This window comes from Homo sapiens, chromosome 19 (assembly GCF_000001405.40).
Source record: "Homo sapiens chromosome 19, GRCh38.p14 Primary Assembly".
NCBI lineage: Eukaryota > Metazoa > Chordata > Mammalia > Primates > Hominidae > Homo > Homo sapiens.
Genome location: NC_000019.10, coordinates 44220980 through 44237603, shown reverse-complemented (window position 1 = coordinate 44237603; position 16624 = coordinate 44220980). Strand labels below are relative to the sequence as shown.

At 42.1% G+C, this 16624-nt stretch overlaps 1 protein-coding gene and 1 long non-coding RNA gene across 25 annotated transcripts in view; one reads left to right on the top strand and one right to left on the bottom strand.

Moving 5' to 3' along the window:
- Positions 1 to 335: 335 nt before the first annotated feature.
- Positions 336 to 16624, bottom strand: part of ZNF227 (zinc finger protein 227) — a 29722-nt gene continuing 13433 nt past the window's right edge. For 8 of the 23 annotated variants that reach the window (XM_047439377.1, XM_011527289.3, XM_017027266.2 and 5 more), the window contains 3 exons: positions 9032 to 9158; positions 7788 to 7871; positions 336 to 2902 (listed from right to left, as the gene is read on the bottom strand). In XM_047439377.1, coding sequence (XP_047295333.1) covers positions 774 to 2902; positions 7788 to 7871; positions 9032 to 9158 — 2340 coding nt within the window. In that variant the 3' untranslated portion in view covers positions 336 to 773. Of the gene's footprint in view, positions 2903 to 7787; positions 7872 to 8970; positions 9159 to 16624 lie in introns of those variants that run through there. The other 15 variants (XM_047439383.1, XM_047439382.1, XM_017027267.2 and 12 more) reach the window with 5 other exon arrangements.
- Positions 2760 to 10472, top strand: LOC124904726 (uncharacterized). 2 transcript variants are annotated; one of them, XR_007067266.1, is made up of 3 exons: positions 2760 to 2849; positions 6700 to 6792; positions 8641 to 10472. It is a non-coding gene; the product is annotated as an uncharacterized LOC124904726 (long non-coding RNA). The 2 variants fall into 2 exon arrangements; XR_007067267.1 differs by having other exon boundaries at positions 6700 to 7429; positions 8641 to 9032.

Sequence of the window (16624 nt, the reverse complement as noted above, 5' to 3'; positions counted from 1 at the left end):
GGTTCAAGCGATTCTCCTGCCTCCGCCTCCCGAGTAGCTAGGACTACAGGCACGTGCCACCATGCCTGGCCAATTTTTTGTATTTTTAGTAGAGATGGGGTTTCACCATATTAGCCAGGATGTTCTCAATCTTCTGACCTTGTGATCCGCCCACCTTGGCCTCCCAAAGTGCTGGGATTACAGGCGTGAGCCACCGTGCCCGGCCATACTACTATCCTTTAATACACCTCTACAGCAGATATAAATTTACTTCTGAAGATCAAAGATTCATCTCTGGGGATATATTCCTTAATTTTACACCTATATACCATATAAAAGAATCATGAGTCCTTAGCTACAGAAAATTTTTAGTAATTTTATTCATTTTTCATAGCTTTACAGCTTTTATGAAAATAATGATCACTGTAAGTATAAAATGAAAATTAAAGAAAAGGGATAATAACCCAAAACTCTCCCTGGCCAAAAAACCAGTTAGCATATGGCAAATATCCTTCCACACATTATCTTCAGGCATATATTCACAATGAAAGGTGATCATTTATATTAACTAGATCTTACCAAGAGAGCCACCAGCCCTATTTCTCCCCTAAATACGAGTTCTATTCCTGTTCATGGTTCTGTGTTATCATCTTGATGGATTTGTTAGAAAGATTCCAAGTGTGAACAAACCCCCTTCCACTCTCAGTAGTTTTACAGGGTTTACCACCAGCATGGACTAGCCAAAAACTTGAAGATGTGCATTCAGACAAAAGTTGGTAACACATTTCTCATTTCTAAAGCTTTTTACCAGTATGGACTTTCTGATGATATGTAAGACGTGAACGGTGACGGAAGTCCTTATCACATATGTCACATTTGTATGGTTTTTCTCCAGTGTGGACTCTCTGATGGGCTTCAAGACGTGCACTCTGACTGAAGCCTTTACCACACTCTTCACATTTAAAGAGTTTTTCCCTGGTGTGAACACCCAGGTGGACTCGAAGATTTGAGGGGAGACTGAAGGCCTTACCACACTCCTCACATATATGGGGTTTCTCTCCCGTGTGGACCCTCTGATGATGGCGAAGATTCAAGCTCCTACCAAAGCCTTTCCCACACTCTTCACATTTGTAAGGTTTTTCTCCAGTGTGGCCTCTCTGATGGTATATAAACTGCGAACTGTATCTAAAGCCCTTTCCACACACATCACATTTGTATGGCTTTTCCCCCGTGTGGACTCTCTGATGGGATTGAAGACCAGAGGACTGACTGAAGCCCTTACCACAGACACCACATTTGTATGGCTTCTCTCCAGTATGGACTCTCTGATGTACCCGAAAATCTATGGCCTGACTGAAGCTCTTATCACACTGCTCACATTTATAGGGTTTTTCTCCTGAGTGAACTCTTTGATGTGCATGAAGATTTGATCTCCAACTGAAGCCCTTCCCACATTCCTCACATTTATATGGTTTTTCTCCAGTGTGAATTACTTGGTGTAGTTTAAGATTTGAACTATAACTGAAGTCCTTACCACACACATCACATCTATATGGTTTCTCTCCAGTGTGGACTCGCTGATGGGTTTGAAGCTTTGAGGACTGACTGAAGCCCTTCCCACACGTTTCACACTTGAATCGTTTCTCCCCAGTGTGGACATTCTGATGGACTTGAAGATTTGAAGCCTGACTGAAGCCCTTACCACACTCCTTACATTTATAGGGTTTCTCTCCCGTGTGAACTCTGAAATGAATATGCAGATCTGTATTACGGGTAAAGCCTTTCCCACACGCCTCACACTTGTATGGCTTCTCTCCTGTGTGGACTCTCCGATGGCATATTAATGGTGAATTGTGGCTGAAGCCCTTACCACACACATCACACTTGTAGGGTTTCTCTCCAGTGTGGACTCTCTGATGGATGTGAAAATGTGCAGCCTGAGTGAAGCCCTTACCACATTCCTCACATTTATAGGGCTTCTCACCCCTGTGGACCCTCTGGTGAACACGGAGATTAACACTCCAACCGAAGCCCTTACCACACTCTTCGCATTTGTATGGTTTTTCTTCAGTGTGGACTCTCTGATGGCACTGAAAATTTGAACTTTGACTAAAGCATTTACCACATTCCTCGCATTTATAGGGTTTCTCTCCAGTATGAGTTCTGTAATGAATGATAAGACCCGTGCTGCTACTGAATCCCTTGCCGCAACTGTCGCATCTATAAGACTTCTCTCCTGTATGATTAGATTGATAAGAATGAAAAGAGCTCTTATTGAAGCAATCACCAGATTCATGACATCTATTGAGTTTCTCTCCTGGGTGAATTCTCTGATGAGTTCGCAGATGTGAGCTTTGACTGAAGCATTTTTCTCCTGTATGAACATTCGGATGAAGGGGAAGCCTTGGGCTATAACTGAAGCCCCTTCCACACTCACCACATGGATGGGGTTTCTCTCCTAAGGGTAATTTCTGATTGGAGCCATCACTAATGATTTTGCCATATTCATTACCTTTGCAGGGTTTTGGTTCTGTGTCAGTTTTAATATGCTCATGAAATGGTGATTTCTTCATGAAGTCTTCATGTATTTGCAGGTTATTTTTCACATCAATTTGCTTACCTCTACTCTGAATCTGTGACTCACTCAGATATGTATTCCCGCAAGAATGCTGGGTTCTCCAAAATGGAAACTCTTGATTTTCAATATAAATAGAGCTATCTCCTTTAGGGTTCATTATATTGTTCTCATTTTCAGAAACCTGAATAGAGTCACCTTGTAATAACTGGGAACTCTTCCCCTGAAGACACCTGGTTAATTCACTTGCAACCTGTTTCCAGATTTGCCAGCAGGACAGCTCTTGATTTGAAAGGTATTTTAATGCAAATTTTTGGAGTGTTTCCATCTTATTTTGATGCTTGCTGCCTATTAAAAAAGAAAAAAGGCAATATTTAGAGATGAGGGCAGTAAATGCTTTCTTCAGAAATATCAGAATTTCACACTTAGGCCATGGGAGAAAGCCTTGATAAACCAGGCGAAAGGTGACCTTGTCCTTACAGCATCGTGTATTCTTTTGACATGTTTTTCATACAGGTGTAAACGAAGAGTGGGGTCAACAGGCTCCCATTCACTAAGTATAAACATGATCCATGTAGAACCGTAAGTCTAACAGTTTAATATGAGAGCTAAAAGCTAAAATCAGGTAGCTGCAGGGCAACAAAAAGAAAATCCATATTCCAACCTACAATAACATCAATGAACAGCCTACTCACCTCTTCCTCAGTAGGCTTATGACAAGCGGGATTCTAATAACTAGTTAGGTTAAGAAAAGTTCAGACTGTAGGCATGAAATACTATTTTAGATCCTGATAGAAATTATTCTCCAACAGATTTGGGAAGGCAGTTGGAATAATATGATTGTTCTAAAACCTGGTAGAAATCCAGGTCTCTGGACAAGTGGAAAAGGGAAAGCTAATCTTGTATAACTAGGAGAGAACTTCGGAGAGGAAATAGAGCATAGTGCAAACTCTCAAAGCCAACACAGAAGACGAAGAGAGGGAGAGGTATGTTCAGCTTGGAAACTTCCTCCCAGAAAGCAGGGAGCCTTGCTTGTTCTCTCGCTCCCTTCAGGTCTCTGCTCACATGTTACATGTTACTTTATCTGTGATGCCTTCCATAACACACGATGTAAAAATAAATCAACGGTACCACCATACGCCATTTTTTTTTTAAAAAACAGCGTCTCGCTCTGTCGCCCAGGCTGGAGTGCAGTGGTGTGATTTCAGCTCACTGCAACCTCCACCTCCTGGGTTCAAGAGATTCTCCTCCTCAGCCTCCCGGGTAGCGGGGATTACTGGCGCATGCCACTACACTCAGCCAATTTTTGTATTTTTAGTAGAGATGGGGTTTTGCCATGTTGGCCAGGCTGGTCTCGAACTCCCGACCTCAAGTAATCTGCCCACCTCGGCCTCCCAGAGTGCTGGGATTACAGGCTGAACCACCACGCCCGGCCTGCCATACACCTTCGACTCTTTCCAGTTCAATTACCCTGCTTGACTTTTCCCCACAGTACTTATTATTTGATTTACTATATACTTTCCTTTGTCTCTTTAGACCCAGTAGAATGTAACGGTCATGAAAAAAACACGCATTTTGTTTTCTTCATTGCTTTATCCCCACTGTTAACAAGGGTTTTCAAATTGTTGCAATGCATTAGTGCACCATGAAACCAAGTATGTAACTTGTGACTGACAAAAAAACAAAAAACAGAATAAGACATGCTTAGTGTATTAAAAGCAATAAGAGTACTACTATAGGAAATACTTGTTTTAGTTGGTAAATATACACATAAATATAAACATATTTATGCTTAGTCAAGATGTAAAATTATACTTATGTTGAGGGTCATGGTTAGAAACGTATGAAAGACCTTGGCTTAAAATGTTTAGGGGGTGGTTTACCAAGTCCTAATCAAATAATTTGCCTAAATGAAATGTTACATTCTAATAATACAAACTGAAAAAAAAATAGCAACAGGTGTCTACACATTTCTGGATATGGCAGGCTGAGTAATGACACCCCACCCCCAAGAGATGTCCACAGCCTGAACTCTCAAACCTGTGAATAGTTAATGTACATGGCAAAAAGGAATTTACAGGCCAGGCACAGTGGCTCACACCTGTAATCCCAGCACTTTGTGAGGCCGAGGCAGGTGGATCACTTGAGGTCAGGAGTTCGAGACCAGCCTGGCCCACAACATGGTGAAACCCCGTCTCCGCTAAAAAACTAAAAAAACAATTAGCCTGGCATGGTGGCAGGCACCTGTAAGCTACTAGGGAAGCTGAGATATGAGAATCGCTTGATCCCAGAAGGCAGAGGTTGCAGTGAGCCAAGATTGCACCACTGCACTTTAGCCTGGACGACGGAGCATGACTCCGTCTACAAAAAAAAAAAACAAAAAAACAAGCAATTTATAGATATGATTAAATGAAAGCTCTTAAGGAGATTATCCTAGATTATCCAATGAGCCTAAAGTAATCACAAGTCCTTACAAAAGGGAAGAAAGAGGGAAGCCACCCAGATTTCACCCTATATATCTCTCCCTTTTGCTGCTTCCAACATGTATCTTTTTTGCTATAATAAAACTGTAAGTCCAGCACCTTCCCGAGTTCTGTCAGTCATTCTAACAAATTATCACGGGAACTCCCAAATTTGTAGCTACTTGGTCAGAGGTGAGCAAAATTATCTGGGAATCCCTAAACTTAGAGCGATATATAAACTTAGAGCGATATAGAGAGCAGTCTTGTGGAAAACTATGCCCTTACTCTGAAAGTCCGGCCTAACTTCAGGTGTTTGGTGTCAGAAGTCACTGCAACATGTAAAGTGCTTCTCACATTGCTGGTGCTAGAAGCTAAGATTAATACATGTGGATGCAAATTACACTGGAAACCCAATTTAGAAATTCTGGAATTTTCTTTGCCTAATCAGGACTCACCTCAACTCCACAGGTATGTCAGTGCCTCTGGACTTCTGGAAATGTCCAATTCAAAACTGCTAAAGAACTACTGTATGTAGGTTATATAACTGTTTTGGTATTAGAGGGAAGGGGAAATGGGAAAGTGGGAAGTCAGCTGTATGGATAAGGCAGTTTTCACCAATGAGTAAAGCCAACTTGAAATTGATACAGGGAAACTGATGAACTATAATACCTGCCATATTGCCACTGATAATTTTTGATAGTGAAGTTCTACATTCCAACAACTGTGAATAGCTTTTATCTTCTAAGGTTAGTAGGTTTGAATATTTACATGTCCAAAAATGTCTTAGAAATTACTAATTATGTTAGACATTCACTAGAAGACAGTGTTCCCAAATAATTAATCACACTGGTGTGCTCTCAATCTATGAGCTAACTCTGAGTAAAAGGGATGTGATATCTACTTGTCTCCATTCTCTGTAAGTTTTTTGTTAAGAATTCTTATAAAAACAAACCCTTTGGCTGAGCATGGTGGTTCATGCCTGTAATCCCAGCATTTTGGGAGGCTGAGACAGGTGGACCACGATCTCAGGAGTTCGAGACCAGCCTGGCCAACATGGTGAAACCCCATCTCTACTAAAAATACAAAAATTAGCCGGGTGTGGTGGCAGGCGCCTGTAATCCCAGCTACTCGGGAGGCTAAAGCAGAATTGCTTGAACCCAGGAGGCGAAGGTTGCAGTGAGCCAAGATCATGCCACTGCACTCCAGCCTGGGTGACACTTTTGGGAGGCCAAAGTGGGTAAGATCAGAACTTCAATACCAGCCTGGCCAACATGGTGAAACCCCATCTCTATTAAAAATACAAAAATTAGTTGGGCATGGTGGTGGTCACCTGTAATCCCAGTAACTTCGGAGGCTGAGGCAGGACAATCACTTGAACCCGGGAGGCAGAGGTTGCAGTGAGCCAAGATGGCACCACTGCTTTCCAGCCTAGGTGACAGAGCAAGCAAGACTCGGTCTCAAAAAAAAAAAAAATTCACATCATCTAGGAATATCTAATTTTTACTTTTAATTTTGTGTGTGTGGGAGACAAGGTCTCACTATGTTGTCCAGGTTGGTCTCAAATTCCTGGGCTCACTTGATGCTCCTCCCAAGTAGCTGGGACTACAGATGTATGCTAACATGCCTGGCTAAGATATATATATATATATATATATATATATTTTTTTTTTTTTTTTTTTGTAGAGATGGAGTCTCACTATGTTGCCCAGGTTGGTCTGGAACTCTTCAGCTCAAGTGATCCTCTCACTTCAGCCTCCCATGTAGCCAGGATTACAGGTATGTACCACCATACCCAGCTTACTTTTAATTTTTAAGTCAATAGACCTGAGGAATATGCAAATTCAAGAGAAAGCAAAGAAGGAGAGAAAGGAAAGGTAAGGGGATGGAAAATGGAAGGAAGATGGTATTTTAAATTAAAATGGTAAATTTAAACATAGAAGGCCTCTCTAATGATATAACATTTGAGGAATGACCTGAGTGCAGTAAGTAAGGTGCTGGGGAGCCTCTCCACCAAGGCAATGAGGAGAGCTAATTAGAAGCCATGGAAGAGAAGGGAACTTGGTATGCTTAACAAATACTCCAACGGCGGCCAGCATGGCTGAAATGATCTAAGCAAAGGGAAAGGAATGGGAGATCAAAGAGAAACTTGGTGAGATGAGACCAGGTAGGGTCTTGCAGTTCAGTACAAGGACTTTGAGTGAAATGGGAAGGTTGTGAAGGCTTCTGAGCAGAGGAATAACATCATCTCATGTGTTCTTTAAAGAACCATTCTGGGCCGGGTGCGGCAACTCACATCTGTAATCCCAGCACTTTGGGAGGCCGAGGTGGGAAGACTGCTTGAGTCCAGGAGTTTGAGACCAGCCTGGGCAACACAGCAAGACCTCATCTCTACAAAAAATAAAAAATTAGCCAGGTATCATGATATATACCTATAGTCCTAGCTACTTAGGAGGCTGAGGTGGGAGGACCACTTGAAATCAGGAGGTTGAGGCTGCAGTGAGCTACAATCATGCTGCTGCACTCCAGCCTGGGTGACAGGGTGAGACCCTGTCTCAAAAAAATAAAGATTAAAAAAAGAACCACTCCGGCTACCATTTAGAAAGCAGATTATAGGAGCACAAGGGAGGAGGTGGGGAGACCAGCATGGAAGCTATTGTTATAATCCAGGTGAAAGATTTTAACACTCAGACCAGGGAGGTCATGGACATGGTAAGATGCAGACTAACCAGTACCTGAAAGAACAGACACAGGGTTCTCACCAGAATACCTACTTCTTTGGGTTTCTGTTTCCATCATCCAAAGCTTTTCTTCTGCTTCCAATTGGGATACCATATCTGGTTGGAAGGGAAGATGCCCTATGAAAATGTAGATTTTTATGTATTTAAGATGAACACACAACTAAAACACATTTTTGTCTGAACCCTATAAGCCTCACAACCTCTATAGTGATATTTTATTATTTTATTTATTTATTTTGAGACAGAGTCTCACTCTATCGCCCAGGCTGAAGTGCAATGGCACAATCTCGGCTCACTGCAACCTCTGCCTCCAGGGTTCAAGCAAGTCTCCTGCCTCAGCCTCCCGAGTAGTTGGGATTACAGGCACCTGCCACCACACCCGGCTAATTTTTGCATTTTTAGTAGAGATGGGGTTTCACCATGTTGGCCAGGATGGTCTTGAACTCGTGACCTCAAGTGATCCACCCACCCTGGCCTCCCGTATTGCTGCAATTAAAGGCGTAAGCCACCATGCCCGGCCTCTAGAGTGATTTATTTTAAGATGTTTTAAGATCATGAACTATAATAAGAAATTTAGGTTGTAGCCTAGTTCATATATATATAATATATCTCTCTCTCAAGTTATACTTGGCTAATGTCTGTTTTCATCACATTTGCAATGCTGTATCTCACACCATTCACTGAAAATTGTCAGTTTTTGTTGCAATGTGAGCAGTTCCTGATAAGAAGCTCTGATATTTTCTATCCTTATCTGTTTTATTTCATTGAAAAAAAAGCCAGTACAGTGCACTAAGTTAATGCATTGATGGGTTTCATTTGAAAGACAACGTATTTGAAAGATAAAGCATAGAAGCTAATGTGTCCATTTACGGTTCATTTAAAACAGGGTTTTGCAACTGCAGCACTACTATTTTGGACTGGCCAATTCTCTGTTGGGGGCACTGTCCTGTGCACTGTAGGAGATTTTGCAGAATTCCTGGATACTACCCACAAAATGCCAATAGCACCCCTCTGTCAGGTGTGACAACCATTTCCAGACATTGCCAAATATCTTCTGGGGGCGAAATCACCCATGGTTGAGAACCAGCAATTTAAAAGGACAGAATTTTGCCTGAGCAGAAAGACCAGAAAAACCTATCCTGTTTTCCCAGGGATTAGAAAACCTTTTGTCTTCAAGAGCAAAGAACCATTTTAAAAGGTCCAAACCCTTAAACACCTGAGAGCAAAGAGATTCTCAAGGGAACTGAAGTTCAGGGTCAGAGAGTGCCTGTCCTCACCCACTGCAACCAGGTTCTTGAAGTTCTCCACCATGACATCTCGGTACAGCTTCCTCTGGGTAAGATCGAGCAGTCGCAGTTCCTCCCTGGAGAAGACCACAGCCACATCCTTGAATGTCACAGCCTCCTACAATATCAAACACATGTAACCTCAATCTTACAACCAACCTTCACTAGAAGAAGGGTGGCATCAAGAAGGAAAAGAGCACCACAAAAAAGTTGTTATAGATTCCAAGAGATCTCAGTCAATTTTCAGCTGTTACAGTTTTCCCTGTCTCACTATCTCCTACGCTCATCCCCATAAAGCCTGTAGTTTATCACTGTTTTTTGTTTTTTTCTTTTTTGAGATGGAGTCTCACTCTGTCACCCGTGCTGGAGCAGTGGCGCAATCTCTGCTCACTGCAACCTCCGCCTCCCGGGTTCAAGAGATTCTCCTGCCTTAGCCTCCCAAGTAGGTGGGATTACAGGCGTCTACTACCATGCCCGGCTAATTTTTGTATTTATTTAGTAGAGACGGGGTTTCACCATGTTGGCCAGGCTGGTCTCAAACTCCTGACCTCCAATGATCTGCCCGCCTTGGCCTCCCAAAGTGCTGTGATTATAGGTGTGAGCCACTGAGCCTGGCCCTATCATTGTTTTTAACGTTTGCAAAGTTCACAGGCCTTCAGCAACCCCCTGGACAGGTATATAGCTCTTCCTGTGCTTTCAAGGCACATGTCACATCCACCTACTACAGGATGCACAGCTGCTTAATTTAAAGCACTGGCTCTGGAGTCTGGCCAGGTTCAAATTTCAAGGTTTTGCCTTTTACTAGTTATAGGACCTTGGGCAAATTCCTTAATCTCTCACTAACTGAATTTCCTCTTCTTTATCATTGTATCTAAATTATAAGGTGTATGAGCCTGACACAGAAGGATCACTTCAGCCCAGGAGTTTGACGGTGCAGTGAGCCATGATTGTGCCACTGCACTTCAGCCTGGGCAACAGAGTGAGACCCTGTCTCAATTTTTAAAAATAAATTTTCAGGCTAGGCACAGTGGCTCACACCTGTAATGCCAGCACTTTGGGAGGCCGAGGCGGGCAAATCACTTGAGGCCAGGAGTTTGAGACCAGCCTGGCTAAGATGCTGAAACCCCGTCTCTACTAAAAATACAAAAAAATTAGCCAGGCGTGGTGATGTGCGTCTGTAATCCCAGCTACTCAGGAGGCTGAGGCAGGAGAATCACTTGAACCTGGGAAGCGGAGGTTGCAGTGAGCCAAGATGGCGCCACTGCACTCCAGCCTGGGTGACAGGGGTGAGACACTGTCTTAAAATAAATAAATTTTTAGAATTAAAATAAATAGATCATAAAGTGTTTGAAAGGATCAGATGAATGAATATATGTCAAGCACTTAGAAGTGCCTAGCACACCATACATGCTCAATAAACTCGAACAACGCATATCTTTATCATCTCTTTTGTCCTATTTTGTGACTACATACAACAGGATTCCTTGGAACTGAAGATTTATCTCTAACCAATCCAAATAATGTACAATTAATTACAGATTTTTACTTATAACCAATACTACAAAGATCCTTTTACAGAGCTCATGGCCAAGAAGTAGCAACTGCAAAGTCATAGAATATTTACTTTAAAAGTTTTGAGGGGTGGAGCCAAGATGGCTGAATAGGAACAGCTCCGGTCTACAGCTCCCAGCATGAGCAATGCAGAAGACGGGTGATTTCTGCATTTCCATCTGAGGTACTGGGTTCATCTCACTAGGGAGTGCCAGACAGTGGGCGCAGGGCAGTGGGTGCAGCACACTGGGTGTGAGCCAAAGCAGGGTGAGGCATTGCCTCACTTGGGAAGCACAAGGGGTCAAGGAGTTCCCTTTCCTAGTCAAAGAAAGGGGTGACAGACGGCACCTGGAAAATCAGGTCACTCCCACCCTAATACTGCGCTTTTCCAATGGACTTAAAAAACGGCACACCAGGAGATTATATCCTGCACATGGCTCGGAGGGTCCTACGCCCACAGAGTCTCGCTGATTGCTAGCACAGCAGTCTGAGATCAAACTGCAAGGAGGCAGCGAGGCTGGGGGAGGGCGCCTGCCATTGCCCAGGCTTGATTAGGTAAACAAAGCAGCCTGGAAGCTCGAACTGGGTGGAGCCCACCACAGCTCAAGGAGGCCTGCCTGCCTCTGTAGGCTCCACCTCTAGGGGCAGGGCACAAACAAAAAGACAGCAATAACCTCTGCAGACTTAAATGTCCCTGTCTGACAGCTTTGAACAGAGTAGTGGTTCTCCCAGCATGCAGCTGGAGATCTGAGATCCGGCAGACTGCCTCCTGAAGTGGGTCCTTGACCTCCAAGCAGCCTAACTGGGAGACACCCCCCCAGTAGGGGCAGACTGACACCTCACACAGCTGAGTACTCCTCTGAGACAAAACTTCCAGAGGAACAATCAGGCAGCAGCATTTGCAGATCACCAATATCTGCTGTTCTACAGCCACCGCTGTTCTGCAGCCACCGCTGCTGATACCCAGGCAAAAAGGGTCTGGAGTGGACCTCTAGCAAACTCCAACAGACCTGCAGCTGAGGGTCCTGTCTGTTAGAAGGAACACTAACAAACAGAAAGGACATCCACACCAAAAACCCATCTGTACATCACCAGCATCAAAGACCAAAACTAGATAAAACCATAAAGATGGGGAAAAAACAGAGCAGAAAAACTGGAAACTCTAAAAAGCAGAGCGCCTCTCCTCCTCCAAAGGAATGCAGCTCCTCACCAGCAATGGAACAAAGCTGGATGGAGAATGACTTTGACGAGTTGAGAGAAGGCTTCAGACGATCAAACTACTCCGAGCTTCAGGAGGAAATTCAAACAAATGGCAAAGAAGTTAAAAACTTTGAAAAAAATTTAGACAAATGTATAACTAGAATAACCAATACAGAGAAGTGCTTAAAGGAGCTGATGGAGCTGAAAGCCAAGGCTCGAGAACTACATGAAGAATGCAGAAGCCTCAGGAGCCGATGCGATCAACTGGAAGAAAGGGTATCAGTGATGGAAGATGAAATGAATGAAATGAAGCGAGAACGGAAGTTCAGAGAAAAAAGAATAAAAAGAAACGAACAAAGCCTCCAAGAAATATGGGACTATGTGAAAAGACCAGATCTACGTCTGATTGGTGTACCTGAAAGTGACGGGGAGAATGGAACCAAGTTGGAAACACTCTGCAGGATATTATCCAAGAGAACTTCCCCAATCTAGCAAGGCAGGCCAACATTCAGATTCAGGAAATACAGAGAACGCCACAAAGATACTCCTCGAGAAGAGCAACTCCAAGACACATAATTGTCAGATTCACCAAAGTTGAAATGAAGGAAAAAATGTTAAGGGCAGCCAGAGAGAAAGGTCAGGTTACCCACAAAGGGAAGCCCATCAGACTAACAGCGGATCTCTCGGCAGAAACTCTACAAGCCAGAAGAGAGTGGGGGCCAATATTCAACATTCTTAAAGAAAAGAATTTTCAACCCAGAATTTCATATCCAGCCAAACTAAGCTTCATAAGTGAAGGAGAAATAAAATACTTTACAGACAAGCAAATGCTGAGAGATTTTGTCACCACCAGGCCTGCCCTAAAAGACCTCCTGAAGGAAGCACTAAACATGGAAAGGAACAACCAGTACCAGCCACTGCAAAATCATGCCAAAATGTAAAGACCATCAAGGCTAGGAAGAAACTGCATCAACTAACGAGCAAAATAACCAGCTAACATCAAAATGACAGGACAAAATTCACACATAACAATATTAACTTTAAATGTAAATGGGCTAAATGCACCAATTAAAAGACATAGACTGGCAAATTGGATAAAGAGTCAAGACCCATCAGTGTGCTGTATTCAGGAAACCCATCTCACGTGCAGAGACACACATAGGCTCAAAATAAAAGGATGGAGGAAGATCTACCAAGCAAATGGAAAACAAAAAAAAGGCAGGGGTTGCAATCCTTGTCTCTGATAAAACAGACTTTAAACCAACAAAGATCAAAAGAGACAAAGAAGGCCATTACATAATGGTAAAGGGATCAATTCAACAAGAGCTAACTATCCTAAATATATATGCACCTAATACAGGAGCACCCAGATTGATAAAGCAAGTCCTGAGTGACCTACAAAGAGACTTAGACACCCACACAATAATAATGGGGGACTTTAACACCCCACTGTCAGCATCAGACAGATCAACGAGACAGAAAGTTAACAAGGATACCCAGGAATTGAACTCAGCTCTGCACCAAGTGGACCTAATAGACATCTACAGAACTCTCCACCCCAAATCAACAGAATATACATTTTTTTCAGCACCACACCACAACTATTCCAAAATTGACCACATAGTTGGAAGTAAAGCTCTCCTCAGCAAATGTAAAAGAACAGAAATTATAACAAACTGTCTGTCTCTCAGACCACAGTGTAATCAAACTAGAACTCAGGATTAAGAAACTCACTCAAAACTGCTCAACTACATGGAAACTGAACAACCTGCTCCTGAATGACTACTGGGTATATAACAAAATGAAGGCAGAAATAAAGATGTGTCTTTGTTCTCATTGGTTTCAAAGAACAACATACCAGAATCTCTGGGACGCATTCAAAGCAGTGTGTAGAGGGAAATTTATAGCACTAAATGCCCACAAGAGAAAGCAGGAAAGATCCAAAACTGACACCCTAACATCACAATTAAAAGAACTAGAAAAGCAAGAGCTAACACATTCAAAAGCTAGCAGAAGGCAAGAAATAACTAAAATCAGAGCAGAACTGAAGGAAATAGAGACACAAAAAACCCTTCAAAAAATTAATGAATCCAGGAGCTGGTTTTTTGAAAAGATCAACAAAATTGATAGACCGCTAGCAAGACTAATAAAGAAAAAAAGAGAGAAGAATCAAATAGACCCAATAAAAAATGATAAATGGGATATCACCACTGATCCCACAGAAATACAAACTACCATCAGAGAATACTACAAACACCTCTACGCAAATAAATTAGAAAATCTAGAAGAAATGGATAAATTCCTCAACACATACACCCTCCCAAGACTAAACCAGGAAGAAGTTGAATCTCTGAATAGACCAATAACAGGCTCTGAAATTGTGGCAATAATCAATAGCTTACCAACCAAAAAGAGTCCAGGACCAGATGGATTCACAGCAGAATTCTACCAGAGGTACAAGGAGGAGCTGGTACCATTCCTTCTGAAACTATTCCAATCAATAGAAAAAGAGGGAATCCTCCCTAACTCATTTTATGAGGCTAGCATCATCCTGATACCAAAGCCAGGCAGAGACACAACCAAAAAAGAGAATTTTAGACCAATATCCTTGATGAACATTGATGTAAAAATCCTCAATAAAATACTGGCAAACCAAATCCAGCAGCACATCAAAAAGCTTATCCACCATGATCAAGTGGGCTTCATCCCTGGGATGCAAGGCTGGTTCAACATACGCAAATCAATAAATGTAATACAGCATATAAAGAAACCCAAAGACAAAAACCACATGATTATCTCAATAGATGCAGAAAAGGCCTTTGACAAAATTCAACAACCCTTCATGCTAAAAACTCTCAATAAATTAGGTATTGATGGGACATATCTCAAAATAATAAGAGCTATCTATGACAAACCCACAGCCAATATCATACTGAATGGGCAAAAACTGGAAGCATTCCCTTTGAAAACTGGCACAAGACAGGGGTGCCCTCTCTCACCACTCCTATTCAACATAGTGTTGGAAGTTCTGGCCAGGGCAATCAGGCAGGAGAAGGAAATAAAGGGTATTCAATTAGGAAAAGAGGAAGTCAAATTGTCCCTGTTTGCAGATGACATGATTGTATATCTAGAAAACCCCATTGTCTCAGCCCAAAATCTCCTTAAGCTGATAAGCAACTTCAGCAAAGTCTCAGGATACAAAGTCAATGTACAAAAATCACAAGCATTCTTATACACCAATAACAGACAAACAGAGAGCCAAATCATGAGTGAACTCCCATTCACAATTGCTTCAAAGAGAATAAAATACCTAGGAATCCAACTTACAAGGGATGTGAAGGACCTCTTCAAGGAGAACTACAAACCACTGCTCGATGAAATAAAAGAGGATACAAACAAATGGAAGAACATTCCATGCTCATGGGTAGGAAGAATCAATATCGTGAAAATGTCCATACTGCCCAAGGTAATTTATAGATTCAATGCCATCCCCATCAAGCTACCAATGACTTTCTTCACAGAATAGGAAAAAACTACTGTAAAGTTCATATGGAACCAAAAAAGAGCCCACATCGCCAAGTCAATCCTAGGCCAAAAGAACAAAGCTGGAGGCATCATGCTACCTGACTTCAAACTATACTACAAGGCTACAGTAACCAAAACAGCATGGTACTGGTACCAAAACAGAGATATAGATCAATGGAACAGAACAGAGCCCTCAGAAATAACGCCACAGATCTACAACTATCTGATCTTTGACAAACCTGAGAAAAACAAGCAATGGGGAAAGGATTCCCTATTTAATAAATGATGCTGGGAAAACTGGTTAGCCATATGTAGAAAGCTGAAACTGGATCCCTTCCTTACACTTTATACAAAAATTAATTCAAGATGGATTAAAGACTTAAACATTAGACCTAAAACCATAAAAACCCTAGAAGAAAACCTAGGCATTACCATTCAGGACATAGGCATGGGCAAGGACTTCATGTCTAAAACACTAAAAGCAATGGCAACAAAAGCCAAAATTGACAAATGGGATCTAATTAAACTAAAGAGCTTCTGCACAGCAAAAGAAACTACCATCAGAGTGGACAGGCAACCTACAAAATGGGAGAAAATTTTTGCAACCTACTCATCTGACAAAGGGCTAATATCCAGAATCTACAATGAACTCAAACAAATTTACAAGAAAAAAGCAAACAACCCCATCAAAAAGTGGGCGAAGGACATGAACAGACACTTCTCAAAAGAAAACATTTATGCAGCCAAAAACCACATGAAAAAATGCTCACCATCACTGGCCATCAGGGAAATGCAAATCAAAACCACAATGAGATACCATCTCACACCAGTTAGAATGGCAACCATTAAAAAGTCAGGAAACAACAGGTGCTGGAGAGGATGTGGAGAAACAGGAACACTTTTACACTGCTGGTGCGACTGTAAACTAGTTCAACCATTGTGGAAGTCAGTGTGGCGATTCCTCAGGGATCTAGAACTAGAAATACCATTTGACCCAGCCATCCCATTACTGGGTATATACCCAAAGGACTATAAATCATGCTGCTATGAAGACACATGCACATGTATGTTCATGTCCCTACAAAGGACATGAACTCATCATTTTTTATGGCTACTGGGTGTATACCCAACGGATTATAAATCATGCTGCTATAAAGACACATGCACACGTATGTTTATTGCAGCACTATTCACAATAGCAAAGACTTGGAACCAACCCAAATGTCCAACAATGATAGACTGGATTAAGAAAATGTGGCACATATACACCATGGAATACTATGCAGCCATAAAAAAGGATGAGTTCAT